Source organism: Homo sapiens, chromosome X (assembly GCF_000001405.40).
Source record: "Homo sapiens chromosome X, GRCh38.p14 Primary Assembly".
Lineage (NCBI taxonomy): Eukaryota > Metazoa > Chordata > Mammalia > Primates > Hominidae > Homo > Homo sapiens.
The window spans coordinates 68,668,829-68,688,331 of record NC_000023.11 but is presented as its reverse complement, the minus strand read 5'-3'; the positions used below and the strand labels follow the sequence as shown (position 1 = coordinate 68,688,331).

At 48.1% G+C, this 19,503-nt stretch overlaps 1 protein-coding gene across 4 annotated transcripts in view, besides 2 other annotated features; it reads right to left on the bottom strand.

Moving 5' to 3' along the window:
* The window catches only part of STARD8 (StAR related lipid transfer domain containing 8), a 78,171-nt gene that overhangs the window by 37,505 nt on the left and 21,163 nt on the right, over window positions 1-19,503 (bottom strand). The window contains exon 1 of one of the 4 annotated variants that reach the window (XM_011531069.4): window positions 1,782-1,988. The exons of the other annotated variants lie outside the window; for them this stretch is intronic. Within the exon in view, the coding sequence (XP_011529371.2) occupies window positions 1,782-1,890 (109 nt within the window). The 5' untranslated portion in view covers window positions 1,891-1,988. Of the gene's footprint in view, window positions 1-1,781; window positions 1,989-19,503 lie in introns of those variants that run through there. 4 annotated transcript variants of the gene reach the window in all.
* Window positions 7,499-7,999: an enhancer, noted in NCBI's record as "H3K4me1 hESC enhancer chrX:67900175-67900675 (GRCh37/hg19 assembly coordinates)". NCBI's record gives its function as "activates a minimal SCP1, AML or CMV promoter by ChIP-STARR-seq in naive H9 embryonic stem cells {active_cell/tissue: H9 hESC(naive)}" and the evidence as "EXISTENCE:reporter gene assay evidence [ECO:0000049][PMID:30033119]".
* Window positions 8,242-8,418: a silencer, noted in NCBI's record as "fragment chrX:67899756-67899932 (GRCh37/hg19 assembly coordinates)". NCBI's record gives its function as "represses an EF-1alpha promoter that drives an FKBP-Casp9 reporter gene in an ReSE screen in HepG2 liver carcinoma cells {active_cell/tissue: HepG2}" and the evidence as "EXISTENCE:reporter gene assay evidence [ECO:0000049][PMID:32094911]".

The window sequence follows — 19,503 nt, the reverse complement described above, 5'->3', positions numbered from 1 at the left end:
CTGGCTGAGCCTGTCCCTGGCCAACCACCCCCCTGTCTCCTGACCTTGAAGGGCAGCCCTCAGAGGCCCCAGGATGACATCGGAGAGGGCATGGGATGTGTTTGGTTGGTTGAGGGCCACTCAGCAAAGGGCTCTGGGCTCAACTTGGCCTTGGAGCTCGTCTACCCTCTCAACAGGCCTTTCCTCAAGCACAGCTCCCCCCTTTCCCCTCCATACATACACACTTACTAAGCAGGAGTTCTGATTTGCCCTCAGCCAGGGCTGGAACTTCCCCACACACATGCATCAGCCATTCCCATAACATGGTTACCCAGACCTTGTCTGTGCCGGGCACTGGGCAAGGGACAGGGTCAGAGAGTGGGGCGGGCAGGCCCACAGCCTGGGTACCTGCCTTCCTGGAGCTCCCATGTCAGTGGGGGAGGCAATGGCAGCCCCTGACAGAGAACGCCCATCCCAGGCAGGTGGGTAGCCAGGTCAGTTCCCAGAGGACAGGGAGGGAGGGGCAGCCAGGCTTCCGGGGTGGATGGGACCTGATGACTCTATATGGACAGGCCCCCAAGGAAATGATCCTGGCCCCCAACACCCAAGGCTCCTGGGTCAGGGCCAGGCAACTGTCACTCTGGCTTCTACTTTGTTTCTACCACGGAGGAACTGTGTGACCTGGCTGAGAGTCTTGCCCTCTCTGGCTCTCAGTGTCCCCATAAGTACAATCAGAGAGTCTGTTCTCAGAATCTCCAAGGATCCTGTGTTTCAGCGTGTTCAATTCCATGTTAAATCTATGGTGAGAAACCCAACCCAGTTTGCTATTTCCTCCCTGCCCTTTAAGTGGAATCAAGAGCGAATTAGAGCTGGGTGCAATAATCCCAGCTACTTTGGAGACTGAGGAGGGAGGGTTGTTTGAGCTCAGAAGTTCGAGTCTCGAGAGAGAGTGAGTGAGTATAACAATTACTCAGAAGTAGTAGCCTGGAAATATAAGTACCCCAAAACTTTTTTTTCAATTTTTAAAAAGACAAAATGCCAGAGACTTTGGGAGATCCCTCAGAGACCCATTCCTTGGTTTGGAGCTCCCAGGCAATGCGAGTTGATTATAAAGGTGCTACCAGGGTTGCTGGGCTGTGTCCTGCACCTGGGGTACAGAGTGGGAAGGTAAGAGGCCCTTGGAGTGATAGGGGGATGTAGGGAGCTACTGTGTAGGTGATAACACTTAACGATCTGGAGACCAAAAAATAAATAAATAAATAAAAATAAAAGGATGAAAGGACAGACGGACAACTCAATGACAAGGAAAAAATACAGGTTGAGGTTTAGACATATAGTGGGACAGGAAGACAGGAGGGTGAACAAGCAGACACCAAAGGCAGAGACGAAGAAGGTGCTGGAGGAATGGGTGTAAAGGGACATACTGTTTACTGAACGCCTACCACGTGTTAGTAACCAAAGTGGTGTTCTTTTTGAGCGGAGGATGTAGACAGAGGTGGGTGGGGACGAAGCCGGATAGACTGCTGGGATAAGAGGATGGGGCACCCATAGGGCGGGGCAAGAGCTGCCTAAGAATTAGAAGAAAGAAGGCGTGCGGGGTGGAAAGCCTCAAAAGGGGGCACTGCCGGCCAGGGGTGAGGTTTTAGACAAATGGACATAGGACTCAACGATGAAAACCGGGCTGGAACCAAACAAGGAGGCAGAGGGAGCAGGGAGCTTCGAAGAGCCGGTGCGGGAAGCTCTCCGCGAAGCGCAGCTCAGCCCTGACCTCCCCGCCTGGGGCTGCCTGGCTCTCAGTTCACCTGGATCCCAGCGCGGCGCGTACCACCGGGTGCCCTCCACACCCCACGGAGTCCACGTCCGTGGCTTCGGGAACCGCAACGCCGGACCCCAGCCCCGCGCCTGGGCCATGTGTCCGCGGGCGCCGCGCGGTGCCAGGCGGCTAAGCAGCCCAAGAGCGAGCTGGCGAGCCGGAGTGCTGGCGCCTCGGGTAGTTTTGCCCCGGGACTGAGCGAATCCGCGGGGAGCCCGGGGAGGGAGGGGCTGAGCGGATGATGGCTGTGTTTCCCCGCCCCCTCAGTCGCAATTAGAAAGTTCCACGCCCCCACCTTGAGCAGGAACTCCCCCTTCTCTAGCCTCCAGTCATCTACTCAACTATTCCGCCTCCCCATCACCATAGGAAGCCTTCTTCCAGGTTGGAGTCACCTTCTTTCCAGACTTTTCCAACTTGGCCCCCATCTGCGAGTTTTCCCTCCACTGATTCCTCTCCTTTCTGTTCTCATACCTCGGTGCAAGATAGTGGGGGTGTCTTCCTAGTTATGGGGTCAGCCCCTCCACCTCCTGTCTGCCCCCAAATCTCACCAACCATGTGACATGGAGGAAGGCCTTGTGCAACAGCCAGATGGAGAAGGAAACAATGGCTCTGGCCATCTTGACAGACTGACTCACTCCTCGGCCTCCCTTTACCGCCCCCTGCTTTTCACTCCTCCCTGCAACCACATTCTCTGACTGGCTGGCCTGAGCAACCGACCAGCTGGGTTCCACCAACGACACTTTGAAATCTTTCTAGTACCAGAATATCCTGAAGTGGAATCAGTCCTTATAGACTCCCTTATGTTACAGATGGAAAACTGAGGCCCAAGAATGCAAATGACTTGGCCATCATCTAGGCCGGGGCAGTTATCTCTATGTTGCAGGACTGTTGTAAGGATCTGAAGGACTGATCATGGTGCCTGGCACGGAGTATAGACTTCATTAAGAAAGATTAGCTTTTATTTTCAAAGAGTTTAGCCCCTGGCGTGTACCACAAAAAAAGCCTGGACTAGGACTCTAAGGTACATAACCGTTTTTTCTAATACGCAATCCCCACCACCGCAAGCAAACTTGCATTACCTGACTTGGGGATGGTGGGGGGTCCTGGTTAAATTTGTTTTCAATGGAGATAAGGCCAAAAGTTACCAACAGCTCTCAGACCAGGTCATTTCCATTCTACTTCTGTTGGTGGCCAGTAAAGGGACCAACATCCTAATAGGGCCTCTGCTCTAACTGTGGCATAACCTGGGTGATTTCTCCTCTCTGAGACTCAGTTTCCTCATCTGTAAAATGAGGGTAATATTCCTATGACACGATGGGAATAATGAATGTGCTTTGTGAACGATAAAGGGGTACATGGGTGAAGGTCACAGCCCCTCCCCCCTACTGTCTCCATACCTTGTTCCTGGAATCTAGAGCTAAGCTACTCCATTTGTGAGGGATAAGCTAGAAAAAGGAAGTGCAGTTTCCAGTTGATATGTGCTTATTTGCATGATATTTGCACCCACTTTTCATGAACTCAGTGTCAGAGCTAGAAGGAAATTAGAGGTTAACATGTTGATCTTCATGCCATGCATCCCTTTTCCCCAGGGCAATGGTGGCACATAGCAGGTGTTCACAAAATATTTACTAACTGAATGAATGCATTCTTCATGTGGGGAAGAGGACTTGTCCAAGGTCACACAGTGAGTTTGTTTCAGAACCAAGGCAGATCTGACTCTGCTCCTCCTTCCACTAGGCCATTTCTACTTCATGGAATTATTTTCCTTTTCCCTTCAAATGACCATAAATCAATGGGAAGCCCGTCTCTCCCAGCACCCTCTGGCCTATCAGCAGTCCCCATTCTGGACTAGCCCAGGCAGGACAAACAGCCACTGGGATGCCCCTCTCTGGGCCCAGCTTTCTGCTGCCACCCCGTTGACTCCTGAGTTTCGAGTAGTCCCTGCACTGCGCCTCTCACAGGGGCAGCCCCCTCCCCCACGCCGCCCGCGGAAAAGGAGGCCTCAGTCAGCTTCCTCCAAGCAGAGGAGTTTCCCTTTTGCTCTCCGGTTGGGCGGGAGTGTGGGACATAGCCCCCGGCAGTGGCAGCGGCCTAGAAGGAAGGGCGGCAGCAGTCACTTCCCACCCTGCTAAGGCATCTCCCGCCCTGTCCAGTCCCACCCCTATTTCCTGAGTTCTGCTGCTTCAGCTCCAGCCAGAACAGTGATATGAAAGAGCTCCGAAGATTCACTTGAGTCACAGAGCCCTGTTGCTGGGAAGGACCTTCGAGGTTATTTATTCCCACCACCTCCCCACTCCAGGCAGGAATGCCTGCTGTTAGCAAAGAGGAGGAGAGGGGGCACCTTACTGAACCTCCACAGCTTCAAGTTTCTCCTCCAGATAATGGACATAATATGACACATAGCTGACAATGGTGCTGTGAGAGGAGATGCAAGAATGGATCTAATAAAAGCTGATGTGGATTGAGCACAAGCTATACCAGACATTGTTCTAAGTGCTTATTTAATTCTTACCACAATGCTCTGAAGTATATATATCATCATCATTACCCCAGTTTACAGTTGGAGAAACTCAGAAGCAGCAAAGGTAATCCAAATTGCTCATAAGTGGCAGTGGCAGGATTGGGACCTCGAGCCTCCATCTTCACCCATATATAACGGTGGTAATCATCCTTACCCCCAGAGAATGATTGGACCCCCTTGAGAGTTACTTGAATTCACAAGTGTTTGTTTTACTGTAACTTTTGTATTCAAGTACCCCTAAGGGCTGAGAGGGAAGAATGTGATGAAACCTTGGGGGGCTGATGATGTAAACCTGAAGTGTTGGCTCCAAGTGGGAATGTCTTTGAAGTCCAGCTTTTATCTTAAACATCCACTTGAATTTTCAGTTAACTCTAGTATGCATCCTTGTTTTCTTATTAAAATTCATCTTTTCCTTCCTTAAGCCTTTGAGGAAAATGTACACTCCAGGAAGAGGAGACATACCGGTCTAATACCTTCATATGCCTCCAGGCCATGGCCTTGTACCCCAGGGGTAGCAGGCACCTGGTTCAGTAAAAGATAGGCCCTTAGTCACTGAGAATAGCTAAGGTTTATGGAGTGTTTGTCATGTGAGCCAGCATTCTAAGCACTTTCTATATATGATTTAATCATCATATATAACTCTATGATAAGCTGAATTATTATTGCTACCATTTTCAATGGGAAAACTGTAGCATAGAGAGGTTAAATAATTTGCCCAAGGTCATACAGTTTGGACTGTCAGCTTTAGCTAGTAACCACTGTACATACTGCCTCTCAGGCCACATGGAGTTTCTCTTACCTACCTACCTCCACCACTTCCCACCAGGATGATTGATTTGATTATTGGCAGAAGCAGGCCTTATTCCAATTAGAAGATCAGCTCCTTGAGGGCAGTGACAAGGGGGCTCCCTGCTGCCCCTTTCCCTATATCGATGCTAATCCTGGGGCTGAGCCATGCACAGGGCTGGTCCAGCGTTCAGATTTGGCAACTGACTGTTTCCTGGCTGGTGGCAGTCTCTTGGGCCTAGCACCTGTTGAGCTGGTGGATACAGCACTAGCATTTCACACAGGAGTCCTCTGCCACACTCTGTGGCAAAGATCTAGCTTTAGAAATGGTTGCCCATCACCTACAGGGACAAGTCCACACTTCTAAGACTGGCATTCAAAGCACCCACAAGACTGCCCAGTTAACGCAGGTGGCATTCCCAGAACACACCTCCTTAACCCACCAAATGTGTTACATGTGCACTTCTCTCTCACAAGAATGCTCATCCTTATTTCCTTTACTTATTTCACAAACATTTATATGGTGCTTTCAATGTGCCTGACTCTATCCTCAGCTCTTTGCACATTTTAACTCATAAAGTCCTTACAGAAACCCTGTAGGTACTATTATCCCATTTTACAGATAAGGAAATGAAGACATGAAGAGGTTAAATTATTTGCCCTATCTCCTATACTTGGTAAAGTCCAACATACCAGTTTAGTACAGTATCTCCTATGAATAGCATAAGGTGTTCCCTTTCTGGGTGACTCCACAGCTCAGTTACATCAGCAATCATTCTATATCGAGTTTAATTATCCATGTCTTCCTGCCCAATAAGGGTTTGAATTCTCTCAGCCAGGGGCTGTATTTTATTATTAATGGCATATCCATTGCTCAGGAAGGGATTTGGCGCAGCATTAGCACTTGAGAGGATATTCATTAAAAGATTGAATGCACTGGGCGCAGTGCTTCACGCCTGTAATCCCAGCACTTTGGGAGGCCAAGGTGGGCGGATCACTTGAGGTCAGGAGTTTGAGACCAGCCTGGCCAACATGGTGAAACCCCATCTCTATTAAAAATACAAAAATTAGCCAGGCGTGGTGGTGTGCGCCTGTAGTCCCAGCTACTCGGGAGTCTGAGGCAGGAGAATCACTTGAAACCGGGAGGCGGAGGTTGCAGTGAGCTGAGATCATGCCACTGCACTCCAGCCTGGGTGACAGAGCGAGACTCTGTCTGAAAAAAAAAAAAAAAATTGAAGAGTAAGTGAGTAGGTGGGTGGGTGAGTGGAAAGCCCAGGAGCAACCTTGACCAAACCAAATGGTGGCTGAGAGATTTGAGGTTTTCTTTCCCCCATGTTACTGAGGAAAAGAGCATAAAAATGACTCAATGACCAAGCATGAAATGCAACCACAGGTGGTGAGAGGGGAAGAGAGAGAAGACCTTCCCCCAGTCCCACCATTGGTGTGGCTGGACCAACCCTGGCACCCTGACCACAAAGCCATTGGGCCGATGAGGCATCTAGTTAGCCATGAAAGCCAGCAGCTCTTGGAGTCTGCTGTGGAGAACTGAGCTCATTGGCTTCTCTGTTTCCCCTTCAAAGGCTGCAAGCCTGCCTCTGCAATTCAGAGGTTCATATGGAAAAAAGAGAAGGGCTTAGATATCTCCCCAGGGAGTTGGGGTTTGTTGCTTTTGGTCTCAAACATTATGTTTCAGTGAACTTACTCTGTCCTTCCGTTGCTGGCCACATGCACTTGGCAGAAAAGTAAAGGGGAGTTTGGACACAACTCTGGTCTCAAGTCCTGACTCTGCCATTCAGTAGCTGTGTAACCTTTGGCAAGTAACTGATGCTCAGTTTCTTCACCTAGAAAATGGAAGATTTTTTTTTCTGCCCTGTAAACCTCAAGATAATGGATTTGAGAGCACTTCGTAAGTGGAAAATGACCAGACACAGGTGGAACCACAGTGGGAGTGCTACTTCTAGCAGCGTACGGCAGCTTTCCATCAGAAGGCCCCCCAGTCTCAGCCTTTTGCCTGTCTCTACCTTGCTATGGATGACTAAGGCCCAATCATTCACCTTTTCTGGGCTTTAGTAAAATGGGAAGGATAATTCCTAGCCCTTTGCGGCCAAGTCTTAGAAGGGTTGCTGGATGGCAGAAACAGTGTATATGTGTGCACATTTTACCAGCTCTAGAGAAGGGGCCCCTAAGAACTGCAACTCTCAAAACAGCCTTAGATGTGAACATCAGCTTCAACACTTACTAGATGACATGTCATAGAACTCCTCTGAGCCTCAGTTTCCTCACTTGTTAAATGGAGACAGTAACACCTACCTCCCTGAACTATTAGGTGGAAAGAAGTGTTTGTCAACAGAAAAGTCACCACTTACCCCTTCACCCTGCCTCGCTGCTTTCTTCTTGCCCTTGTATCACGTAGGCCACTCAGGTCTGATGCTCACTAATTCCTTCTGCCTTTATCTGGGAAGTAGTCACAGTGCCCACCTACAGCGGCCCCCACCCCCACTTCCTGGCCTTAGTACACACACCTTCCCCTCAGTCAGAGCTTGCATAAGCCCCTTTTCCTCTTCCTGTCACCTGGCAGGGCACAGCACCAACACACAGTAACACATGCCTTGCAGTCTGGCTCAGGATTCCAGGGCTCTGTCCATTCATGCAAACTGGCCTTGCCAGAAAGAAAAGCTGCTTTGGTGTCAGAGGAGCGTTTTGCAGTTTGGAGGTCAGTACTCTGCCTCCTGTGTCCTCATCCTTGCCCTCTTGTGACTAGCCAGGGGCCCTGTTTGTTTCCATCACTTGGTGTGTCCCCCTCGGATTCTAGGCCAGTGCCTGAGAGAGCACCGAGTGGTCAGGGCTTCCACACAAGCCCAGCCTGGAGCTGGTGGGTCCTCAGAGAGCATCTGATCCATGCCTGCCCCACGTGGGACAGATGGAGATCCTGAAGCCCATCCAAACAGAGGCAAGGAACTCAGGGCCTTGCACTTGAGCTTTGTCTTCCAGCATTTGCCCCTCCCCTGCTCGGCCCTGCAGATTGTCTTCCAAGGCTTGCACGGAGCCTGAGTAGCTCACGAGATCAGGTCAGAAGGGATTCCAGGGAAGTCCTGAGTTCTCGAAGAAGTTCTCTGGAAAAATTTATCCTATAATTTCTCCTCAGGGCGGTGTCCCCAGGTAACCCATGCCAAAGTCCTAGAGACAAAAGTTGGCGACGCACAGTTTCTTAGATAAACAGTGTTGGCAGTGGCATGCCTTGAACAGATAGGGGTGCACATACATGGAAGCTGTGAAAAGGGCGGAGCGTCAAGTCTACCCCTCTTACCTCCCCCACCCCAACAACAATGGGTTGGAAGTCAAGCTGCCATCCCAGAACCCTGGAGGAGAAGGGGAGTTGTGGTAATGCCAGCTCAGGCCAGGAGCCCAATCGGAAGGCCTAGATGGTGGGATTTGGCCCCAGTCAGCTGCATCCCACAGAACAGACACCTAAGAGAGAGGAGGCTACATCCCTTGTCACAACAGAACCCCAAACCCTGTGCAATGAGAGGCCCCATGTGGATAGGGCTTTGTCTCATCTTGACGTCTGCATGGCCCCAGCAGCATATGAATAGTCAGTGGGGCTGCTCACATCGGGGATCCCCCTTCCCTCCTGCTCACTCTCCTTTCCTAGCTCTTCTTTGCCCAAGCTTGGGATGTTCTGTGTTCTAGTTTAACCAAGGGGGCTGTTCTCTTTGACCAAGTGATTGTCCCTTCATGCCTGGTACCCCACTCTGCCTTTGACTTGTTGTTTAACCTTGGGCATGTTATTTGCTCTCTCAGAGTTACAATGTCTTTATCTGAGCATAAAAAGTTTAGATGGACTAGATCAGTGGGTGGGGAAGAGCCTCAAAGCCTATCATAGGGAGGCTGGGGGAGGGGAGAACAGGGAACACTGAGCCAGGAGTCTCCAAGTCCCACCCCTACCCCACCTTGCTTCAATCAGAGCCATGCTGTTTTTATTTGTTTTGTTTTATATATTGGGGTGTCACATAGGATTCAATTTTGGGGGGTAGAAGTCTGCATCTAACGAAGTTTTAAAAGCCAATGAACCAGATATATTCTTCTTGCACTTGAGCCTCAGTTACCTTGTGAGTGATGATTGCATGACATAATACAGATAAAACACTTAAAACAGCATCTGGCACATACTAATGACAATGGCAAGAATAGTCGCCATTTATTGAGCACCGACTATGTGCCAGGCATTGTTCAAAGGTTGTATACTTGGATCAACTCATTTGATCCTTCCAAACCTGCACAGAGAAATTTGGCAACCTGTCCAAGATCACACAACTAATGAGGGGCAAAATGGGGATCTGAATACAGGCCGTTTGTCTCCAGCACTCTCATTCTTAATCAGTACGTGTATTGTTTCCCAGTATATACTTAGGTTTATTCTTATTGTTGTTGTTTTCATTTGAAAATTATTGCACCTCTCATCTGTAAAATGGGCTGAGTTCAACTCATAGTATGACTGTGTGACTAAAATCAGATCATGACTGTGGAGTGGGGGATCTAGAGCCTGCTCTGGCAGCCAGGCCAGGCTGCACAGTGCCCTTGTGTTGGTGTGCCAACTCTACTGAAGTAAAAAGCCTACAGTCTGGAACTGCCTCTCCAAACAGTGGACAGTGGAAAAGGGCTGAGTTTGCTAAGAAAGTAAGGACTGGCTCATGTGCTCAGAGCCTAGAAGAAGAAACCAGGCAGCAGAGCTAGTGGTAACTTATAAGGTAGCTGGATGCCCCACATGGGACAGGACTCTACTGATTTGCTGTGTTTAAGCACTCACTGACCCTATCACTCTCAAACTCCTCCATTCGTCTGGTTTGGCCTTCCTCCTTCCCTTTTTACTCCTCTTTGGGCCCCCTCTACTTTTCTCTTCCTCTCTCTTCCCTCTCTTTGCCCAGCAAGGCTCATAATAACTTGCTAAACCACAACCCTCATATTTCTTCTATTTCCACTTTCCAGGGGAATTTTGCAGCTGGTCCTGACTGTTTCTCCTGATTGATCCTCCCTTCTCTGGCCACACTCATCTCTTCTTTGACCCCACCCACCTTCCCCAGGCTAGTTTCCTTGACTTTAACCCTTTCAGCGGTGCATTGGTAAATTGCAGAGTCTCGCCCCTTCCCACCTTTACTTGGAGGTCAGAGCCGCAAATTCCCTGCATAAGTCCCTTCCCTTTTCTGGGTCTCAGTTTCCCTTCTGTCAAAGGTTGAAGGGGAGTGATGCAGGTTGGACTAAATGCTATCTGCAGAGCTTTCTAGCTGTAATTTCCAACAGTTTTACATCTGATCCATTCAGAAAATTGAATTTTCTTGGCCACATCTTTCTACTTCCTCTCTCTCTATATATATGTATCATACATTGGGGGGGTGGGTGGGGGGCATGGGGAACTTTGAAATCATTACTTGGAGCCAGAATCTGAGGAACTAGGAGCTGAAGGAGGTAGAGGGGGTGAAACAAGAGTTGCAGAATTTTCAAAGTAATGAAAGCACACTGGGGCAGTGAGGCTGGGCCAGTGCCCACTTGGTGGAGGAGCAGCATTTTGCAAGCCAAGTAACTTTAGAAAAATGGTCCTCTCAGCTGGGTTTGGCTTCAAAGGAAGGTCAAGTAGCTGTGTACCCAGAACCAGGGCAGGAGCAGAGCATCAGCATCTCCAGGTGTAGCACGACTCTGGGGATTCAGTTCCATACCCCCGGCATCACCACCTTCCCATTCTGGACAAACTGGAACAAGAGGCAATGGGGACACAGCCCTCGAGGGGCCAAGTTTCTGTTTCAAAGATGCTTACAGTCAAGTTGCAGTGACAAGCATGGAGATAAATAGGGCCCCCCTTACAGTTTCCAAGGTGCTTTCAATCTCTTTTCTTATTTGGCCCTTACACCAACCCTGTGAGACAGGAGAAGAGGACATGTCTATCCCATTTACAGAGCAGACAACTGAGGGTCAAAGGGGTGATAGAATTTGCTGAAGCTGATCTGACCAACAAGCAGAGAGCTGAGACTTAAATCTAAGTGCTTAGACTCCAGAGCCAACGCTCTGTTCAAAACTTTTTTTTTTAATTTTTTTGAGACAGGGTCTCACTCTGTCACCCAGGCTGGAGTGCAGTGCCACGATCACGGCCCACTGCAGCCTCAACCTCCCAGGCTCAAGCCATCCTCCCACCTCAGCTTCCTGAGTACCTGGGACTACAGGCATGTACCACCACACCTGGCTAATTTTTTTTTTTTTGGTAGGGGCGGGGTCTCCCTATGTTGCCCAGGCTGGTCTCAAACTCCTGGACACAAATGATCCTCCCACCTTGGCCTCCCAAATTGCTGGGATTACAGGCATAAGTCACCAAGCCCAACCTCACATTTTCAATAGCTTTGGCAATAGAAGATTTCTGGAAAGGAAAAACAAATAAAACAAACAAACAAACAAACAAAAAACAACAACCTTTTCAGAGCGGCTAACTCTGGAAAGTGAGAGTGAAAGATTATAGGTTGGAATTTTCACTCAGAACATGTATTTTATTTTTAATCCATAGGTGAAAGGAAATAGCTCAAAACACAAGGCATGATTCATGCTATAAGACAGATATACAGTATGATGGGGATTTGAAAGTGGGAGGGAACAGTATTTGAGCTGAGCTTCAGAGAATGGCAGAGGGCTAAACAGGTTGAGACGGGGTTTGGGGGGAGCCTAAGAATCTCAGAGATTGCACAAGTTAGCCATTCCAACCCAGCAGCTGTTGCTGACTTCTGAGACAACGGGCTTGCCTAGAAGGAATTCTTCCTAAACAATTAGTTGCATATAGTGGGTAGGATTTCCTGTTTTCTTTCCTTTCCTCATTTTATCTTGTGAGGTACCTGAGCCGGATCCCAGGGCTTGGGAAACACCTGCTGTATCCACAAGCCATCTACCTGGGCTACAACCTTGGCTTGCTCTGAGATTTTCAGGCGAGCCGGGCCAGTTTGGCCAGACACAGACACGTACAGAAGGAGCCACAGGAACCAGCAGACTTAAAAACAGAAGAGGGCCCCAGCCAGGCCCGTCTCCTGCCCCACAATTGCTTTGAACTTTTTCACCCATCCATGATTCAGTGTCCAACTATCAGATGATCAGACCAATTATATTTTTGGCAAATCACATTGTTCACATTTTTAGAAAATCAAGGCCCAAAAAAGTCTTAAATACAGCGTGTAGGAGCTCAAAGGACCTGAGGGACAACCCGATCCAATCCTTTCATTTTAATGATAGGGAAATTGGGGCCCAGAGAGGAAAAAGGACTTACCCAAGGAGGCAGAGTCTGTTAGCAGCCAAGTCAACACACTATGCCTGGTTGTATTTCAGCCCCAGTGATGAATGACCCTTGCTGCAAACCGGGCCTCAAAGGGGCTTATTGGCAGACGTGAGAAGGAAAGCACATCTGGTCTTTGGAGACCTGAAGTGTATGAGGCACATCTGATCCTTCCATCACTCCACCCCAAGTTCCCCTCTGGCCTGCGTACTGCCTTCCTGGAGTGGAGGTGGAGCTGGAGCTAGGATTCAACATCTGCCCTCTCCATCCCAGAGGCCCGGGGGCTCATTCCTGAGGTCTCAGCTCCTGCTTTCTTATTCTCAAATCAGACTTCTGGCTGGAGAAAACATCTTCCCCTCCCCCCACCCCACTACTGTCTGGGCTAGTCATGGTGGTAATTTGATAGTCATGAAATAACTATAATTTCTGTATTGTCTGGGATCTTATAGAGCACTCCCACTCCCATTATCACACTTAAGGTCCCACATCAACTCAGGAGTTGGGTATTTGGATTCTTATTTTAAAACTGAGAAAACTAGGGCAAGGCATGGTGGCTCATCCCTGCAATCCAAGCACTTTGGGAAGCTGAGACGGGTGGATCACCTGAGGTCAGGAGTTCGAGACCAGCCTGGCCAACATGGCAAAACGCTGTCTCTACTAAAAATACAAAAATTAGGCTGGGAGCAGTGCCTCACGCCTGTAATCCCAGCGCTTTGGGAGGCCGAGGCAGGCGGATCACCTGAGGTCAAGAGTTCGAGATCAGCCTGGCCAACATGGTGAAACCCCGTCTCAACTAAAAATACAAAAATTAGCCAGGCATGGTGGTGCATGTGTGTAATCCTAGCTACTCGGGGAGGCTGAGGCAGGAGAATCGCTTGAACCCGGGAGGCGGAGGTTGCAGTGAGCCGAGATCTCATCATTGCACTCCAGCCTGGGCAACAAGAGCGAAACTCCATCTCAAAAAAAAAAAAAAAATACAAAAATTAGCCGGGCATGGTGGTGCGTGCCTGTAATCCCAGCTACTTGGGAGGCTAAGGTGGGAGAATCAACTAAACCCAGGAGGTGGAGGTTGCAGGGAGCCAAGATTGCACCACTGCACTCCAGCCTGGGCAACAGAGCAAGACTCCATCTCAAAACAACAACAACAACAACAAAAAAAAAAACCTGAGAAAACTGAGGCTTAGAGACGTGATGAAAACTGAGGCTAATAAGTGACAGAGTCAGAATTCAGACCCAGAGGTTTATGAATTTTCCAGAAACTGTATTCTTTCCACCACTCTAAGGCTACCTTTTTTGCTTGTTTCTTGGTAAGGATGGATAGATAGATGAATGGATGGATGGATGGATGCATGAATGGAGCAAATAGTTCCCAAGCACTCTGTGGCTGGCTCTGTTTCAGATGTGAGGATACAGAGAAAAATGAGACGTTTCTACCCTCAAGGAGCCTACTGTTTTACTTTGTGGCTCTCAGACTTTTGCATCCCCAAAGTACCTCCAATGAACAGAAAGAATTTATTCCCCACAGAGGCCCGAGGAGCTGGAGGAGAATCTCACACAGCCAACCACAAGTGAGAATTTTTTTTCAAGTCTCCACTTTTATCTTATGAATTCATGTGAATTTTTTTTTTTTTTTTTTTTTGAGACGGAGTTTTGCTCTTGTCGCCCAGGCTGCAGGGCAATGGTGCGATCTCGGCTCACTGCAACCTCCGCCTCTGTGTTCAAGCGATTCTCCCGCCTCAGCCTCCCGAGTAGCTGGGATTACAGGCACCCACCACCACACTTAGCTAATTTTTGTATTTTTAGTAGAGACGGGGTTTCACCATGTTGGTCAGGCTGGTCTCGAACTCCTGACTTCAGGTGATCCACCCGCCTTGGCCTCCCAAAGTGCTGGGATTACAGGTGTGAGCCATCATGCCCAGGTAATTCATGTGAATTTTTTATGCTATTCCACAACAATTATATGCTTGTTTTAATATGAAAATTTTGCCTCCAGATCTTTTTGGAAAAAAACAAGCCATTCTAGGCAGATGCTCTTGGAAGCATCTTCTAGGAAGAGGTTCTGCTTACCCATAACCTCAGGGGAGACAATGGTATGTTTTTGTATGGTGAAGGCCTTGTTATTCCATGAAACTAAAATTTTGGTAAATAGACTATGTGTGTGTTTGCACACTACACATGTGACACATGTACATGTGTACCTGTAGAAGCTCCAGATTGTAGGCAGAGCTGGTTTCCTTCCAGGGCTATATGTTTCTTTGGCACCCCAAAATGATCCACACTTTTACCCTGGCAACTATCTGTGAACTAACCATGTTCCTCAGCCCAGAAACTAGAACTGAAAAGAACAGTAGGGGTTCTGGAAGGTTGTTTTGTTGTTGTTGTTGTTGTTTTTGGTAAAAGACCTGTTGCATTGCCCTTCTAGCAACAGTAGTAGGGAAACAAGATGGCATCTGCCTCCCAGTGACTGACAGCTGAGGGAGGAAAAAGCCAGGCAAACTTATGGCAGCGTATCTGGGACGATGAAATAGTTATCCTGGGAGATATTTGGGGACTGACAAAGCACTTCCCTGCTTTTGCTGGGCTTCTTAAAACAAAAAGCATGTACTTGGCAAGGCCTGAATGTTGTTCTGCTGTTTGTGCATTGTGTAATTAATTACTGTCTGTTTTTTCTTGGTTTTAATTGAAGATTCTGAGTGCCAGCCTACTTCGGTCATCCTCAGGGAAACAAGAAAGGAGACTTGGACTCTTTCTTGGGCCATAGGTTAAAGGGAGCAGGACATCTCTGGGCAACAGATGTGCTGATAATGGTAGTGAGATCAAAGTATGACAGCTCCAAGTGGCCAAGGGGGTGAAGGGCTGGAGATTATAAAACAATTGCCCCTCCCCTCCTTAAAAGTCTCCTTTTGGCCTTTTTCTTTTTCCAAACCTTGAAGGGTTTTGTGTTTTGTTTTTAATAAGGGAGGCTGTTCCCTTCCCCTGTGGAATGTATTCCCTGAAATATCCTGCTCCAGGGACAAATGAACACAGAGTTGGAAGCCTCTGTTCTCAGGAGCCCTACTTCCTATGTTTTCATTTTTCTTCCCAAAAAGCAAACCAAACTAACTCTTCCTGTTTCTGGGCTTGGGATGTGGAAGGTCACACAGCAGGAACCCTTTAGCAAACAGGTCAGAAGGGGCCTCTGAAAGCTGCCCCTTGGCTGCCCTGCCATGGGGGGTGGGGCGCTGTTTGAATGGAATTTAGTTTTATGGAAAGAAGAGAAGGATGAGGAGAATGACTTTCAGGCTGTGGTGAGGGAACGGCTCTGCTTCTGACACCAGTTTGTTCTGCTTTGTCTCTGCCTTCTCCCCAGGCAGACCAAGGCTTGGGAGCCATGGAGCTTTCACAAGCTCAGCTGCTGATCTTCAGCCATTGGTCACTGTCAGTCAGGAGTACGTGTAGTGAAGAGTGATCAGGACTGTGAGAAACGATTTTAGGAGCTAGGAAAGGACAGATTCTGGGGAGCGCATTATAGATGAGTAGAGACTTGGGTTCTAGTCTCAGTTTTGCTGCCAACTAGCTCTATGCTGTTGTGCAGATCACTTAGTTTCTCTGGGCTTCATTCCCCAGCTGCAACGAGAACATTGGACTGTATGAGCTATAAGATCTCTCCTACCTTAGACTTTGGGAGATTCTAAATGACAGCAGATTGGCCTTAAGGAAGAAGGAACACACTACTTCCAAGGGGTGAAAATAGGACCACTGGGTGGAAGTTGTTGTAAGGCAGATTCTGGCTCAATATAAAGAACTTTTAACAGTATAGAATGAAAAAGGATGCTTCACCATACCTGAGGAGTTTGGTCAAAGCTCAAGTTGGGCATGTAGCAGGAAAGGTAAAAAAGGGAAAATTGAACACCAGATTCGAGCTATGATCGCCAACATTTAATGCAGCCAACTACAGTCTCCAAATGAAACTTTAATGCCGCCAACTCCAGTCTCCAAATGAAATGTTCATGGAAACTTCAAAAAGTCAAATAGGTTTAGTTGAATGAAGCAGGAATGAGATATCCCATAACTCTGTCTTCCTTTCATGTCCCCTAAGACACTAGGGGACACTAGGGCTCCTCAGTACTCAGTTTCAAAAGCATGGGTTAATATAGTCCTTAAGTGCCCTTCCTGCCTTGAGATGTGGGCGACCTCCAAATTTCAAGAGTTTGGTGAAAATGTGTTTTACACGGATCTGCACCATTGGCTGGAACCACTGGATCCTTAAGGCCCTGTCTCAAGAGGTTTTGTCATCTGGAGCCAGTGGGGCTCTATGTTGATCTGTAATAGCTAGTTCAGAGCTGAAATGATAGGGAAGAAAGTCTGCTGAAAGGAAGAAGTCACCAGTCTGATTACCAGAAGTTCTTTTGCTATGCCATCAAAAATAAAAGCCAGTTCTTGGCAGACTCATTGTTTATGTGAGACCTTATGCTTAGTTCTGGGAATCCAGGGGTCAGTCAGATATAGCCATTGTACACCAAGAGCTCATGGTCTATGGGAGAGACAGGAAAGAAAAGAGGCCAATGCAGAACAGTGTGATGTTTTATAATGTAATAGCTATGGACAAGATGGAAAGGGAGGCCAGAGTGTGGCTTGACAGGCCAAGAAGGGGGCTGGCAACAACACACTCAGTGGAGAGTCCAATATGAGAATTCACTGTCTGTCTAGGAAATAGCAAGTTGTCCCATGGGGCTCAGAAATATAGGAACGAGGTGGGAAAGGAAGCAAGAAAGATAGGCTGTCTAAGCTTGAGAGACCTTGAATGCCAGAGCAAAGAAGTTGGACTTTGACCAAAGGTAGGAAATGACCAAAGATTTTTGAGGATGCCTAAGTTTTTCTTTTAAAGAGAGAACTTTGGCAGCAGCATGGAGGGTGAACTGGAAGGGCGAGCATGGTGGCAGGAAGACCAGTTAGGTAGCGGTTGCAACCATCAAGGCCAGAGCTGCTAGGGCCCAGATGGAGGGCTATGCTAGTGTGAGTGACAAGAAAAGGCGGTAGATTTAGGAAGCCTTATGAAGAGGTCCCATGCACACAACTAAATGGCAGCAAATTAGAAAAATGGAGTCCAGGTAACGCCCGTGACTCTTGCTGGAGTGGCTGGGTGCATGGGGCTGCTTTAACCAAGAAAGCGGATTCTGGAGAAAGAGGAGGTTTCCAGAGAAATGATAAAGAATTATGATCTTTAGTGTTGAGTTTGAAGGATCCACAGGACCTTCTGGTGGAAGTGTCCAGTAGCACTTCCCAGGTCCTTTTCAGACCTGTCTTTCCACCTGAAGTTCCCATGCCCTCTCCAGCTCCTGATTTGGAGTGGCCTACACTGTGAAAATGGTCATCTAGGCTATACCTAGGGAGATGTACCTGACCTGACTCTCTAAACCTAGACCTAATTCTGTCTTGCACTCTTGAAAACAGCAACTGAGAACCTGGGCTTCCCAGCCCCTTAGGCCACAAAAGAAGCCCTTACACTCCTCCACAGGCCTGGAAATCCTTCCCCCCATCCCAAAGAACACCTTGAAATTGCCCTTTCCACTGACCCTACCCCCACCTCCCCTTCCTTTCAGCCTGACTTCTGGAGGAGAGGGGGTCAGAGTGCAAAATCAAAATCTTGAGACCCTCTAGTTCAACATTCTCATTTTGCAGACAAGGAAACTGAGGCCCATGGGGCAGAGGTGACTAACTCAAGGTCGCAGAAGGAGTTAATGATGGAGACGAGACTAGATCCTAGGTCTCTCAAGTCACATCCCAGCATTTTTACCTTGGCTGAATTCACTGTGGATCATGGTTAAAAGATTTCCTGTCTCAAATGATAATAAATTCCAGATGCTCCCTAACTAAGTAGATCTTTATACTATTCCAAGTTGCTGGGTAAAATATCTGTCAAATGTTAGATAAGCCATGCCCTGCAAATGTTCTTTGTAAAATAACAAATGTTAAATGACCAGATCTGTCAAGACTCCGTTATAAAAATGATTTGGTCATTTTCAAAAGAAAGGATGTGGATTGAATTATTATTATTCTGATGACTTTCATATGCTTAGTATTTTTGTCTACTGCCCTTGTGAGCCTTGGAGGTGACAGACACCCAATAGCATGTTAAATAAATGTATTTGTTTCCATTTTCTACTGTTCAAATCTGTCTCCCCGCCCCCTCAGAGCTTGGGGGAGGGGTCTGGGGCAGCTGATGGATGAGTCTGATGCTGAGGCCAAGCCTGCAGCCAGACTGGAGCCAGTTGGGTTGCGAGCAGGGGCTCTTGTTACAGGCAAACTATTACCCCACCAGGCCACCTCAGCCACTTCAGCAGGAGCCTGGAGTGAAGCCCCGAATGGCTCCAGGCAACAAAAGGAGCTTTGTGCACTGGGAGCAGGGGGCCTTGGGGAAGATTTGGTGCAAAGGCGGTGGGAGGGAAGGTCAGCAGCCTCCTCACCTCTGTGGGCTGCTGGTAAGCGAGCTAATGAGCTCCGCGGAGTGTGGGGTTTGTAAGTCAAGGAGTCATTGAATTTCAGAACAGCAAGATACCTTAGAGGTCATTTAAAGCAAGCTATTCATTTTATAGTTAGAGACACTAAGGCCCAGAGAGGGAAAGCGAGAGGCCCAAGGACACACAGCTGGCAAAGGTCACAGCCAAAACTGGAACCTGGAGCTTCCGGCCCCAATCAAGTATTCTCACTTCAGCACTTAAGAGGCAGTTTTGAATTGTGGGTTTTATTTGGAGGAAGCGGGTTCCTTTTAGGCTCCAGGACCTTTCCATCTTAGGAGCAATTTGTGCTCAAGCAACAGGGTGTGTGGGTCTGGAAGAAATATGAAGTGATGCTGGGAGCCTGAGAGCATGTAGCATGTCTTGGAGTGAGTCCCTAAGGCCTGAACCTCCTCCTGAGCTGCTGGTTTTACTACCGCTAGCTCTGTGTTTCTCAGTGTTTGATATATATGTTGGCATAGGATGATTTGGGGTGGTACATTGGCATCTGCATCATGATATATATTTAATTTACTACATATTAGGAAAAATGTAACTAGTGCCTCAAAACCTAATTTCATAGATATTATGGCTTAGGGTGAGGTTATTATTTAAAATCAGGTTGATT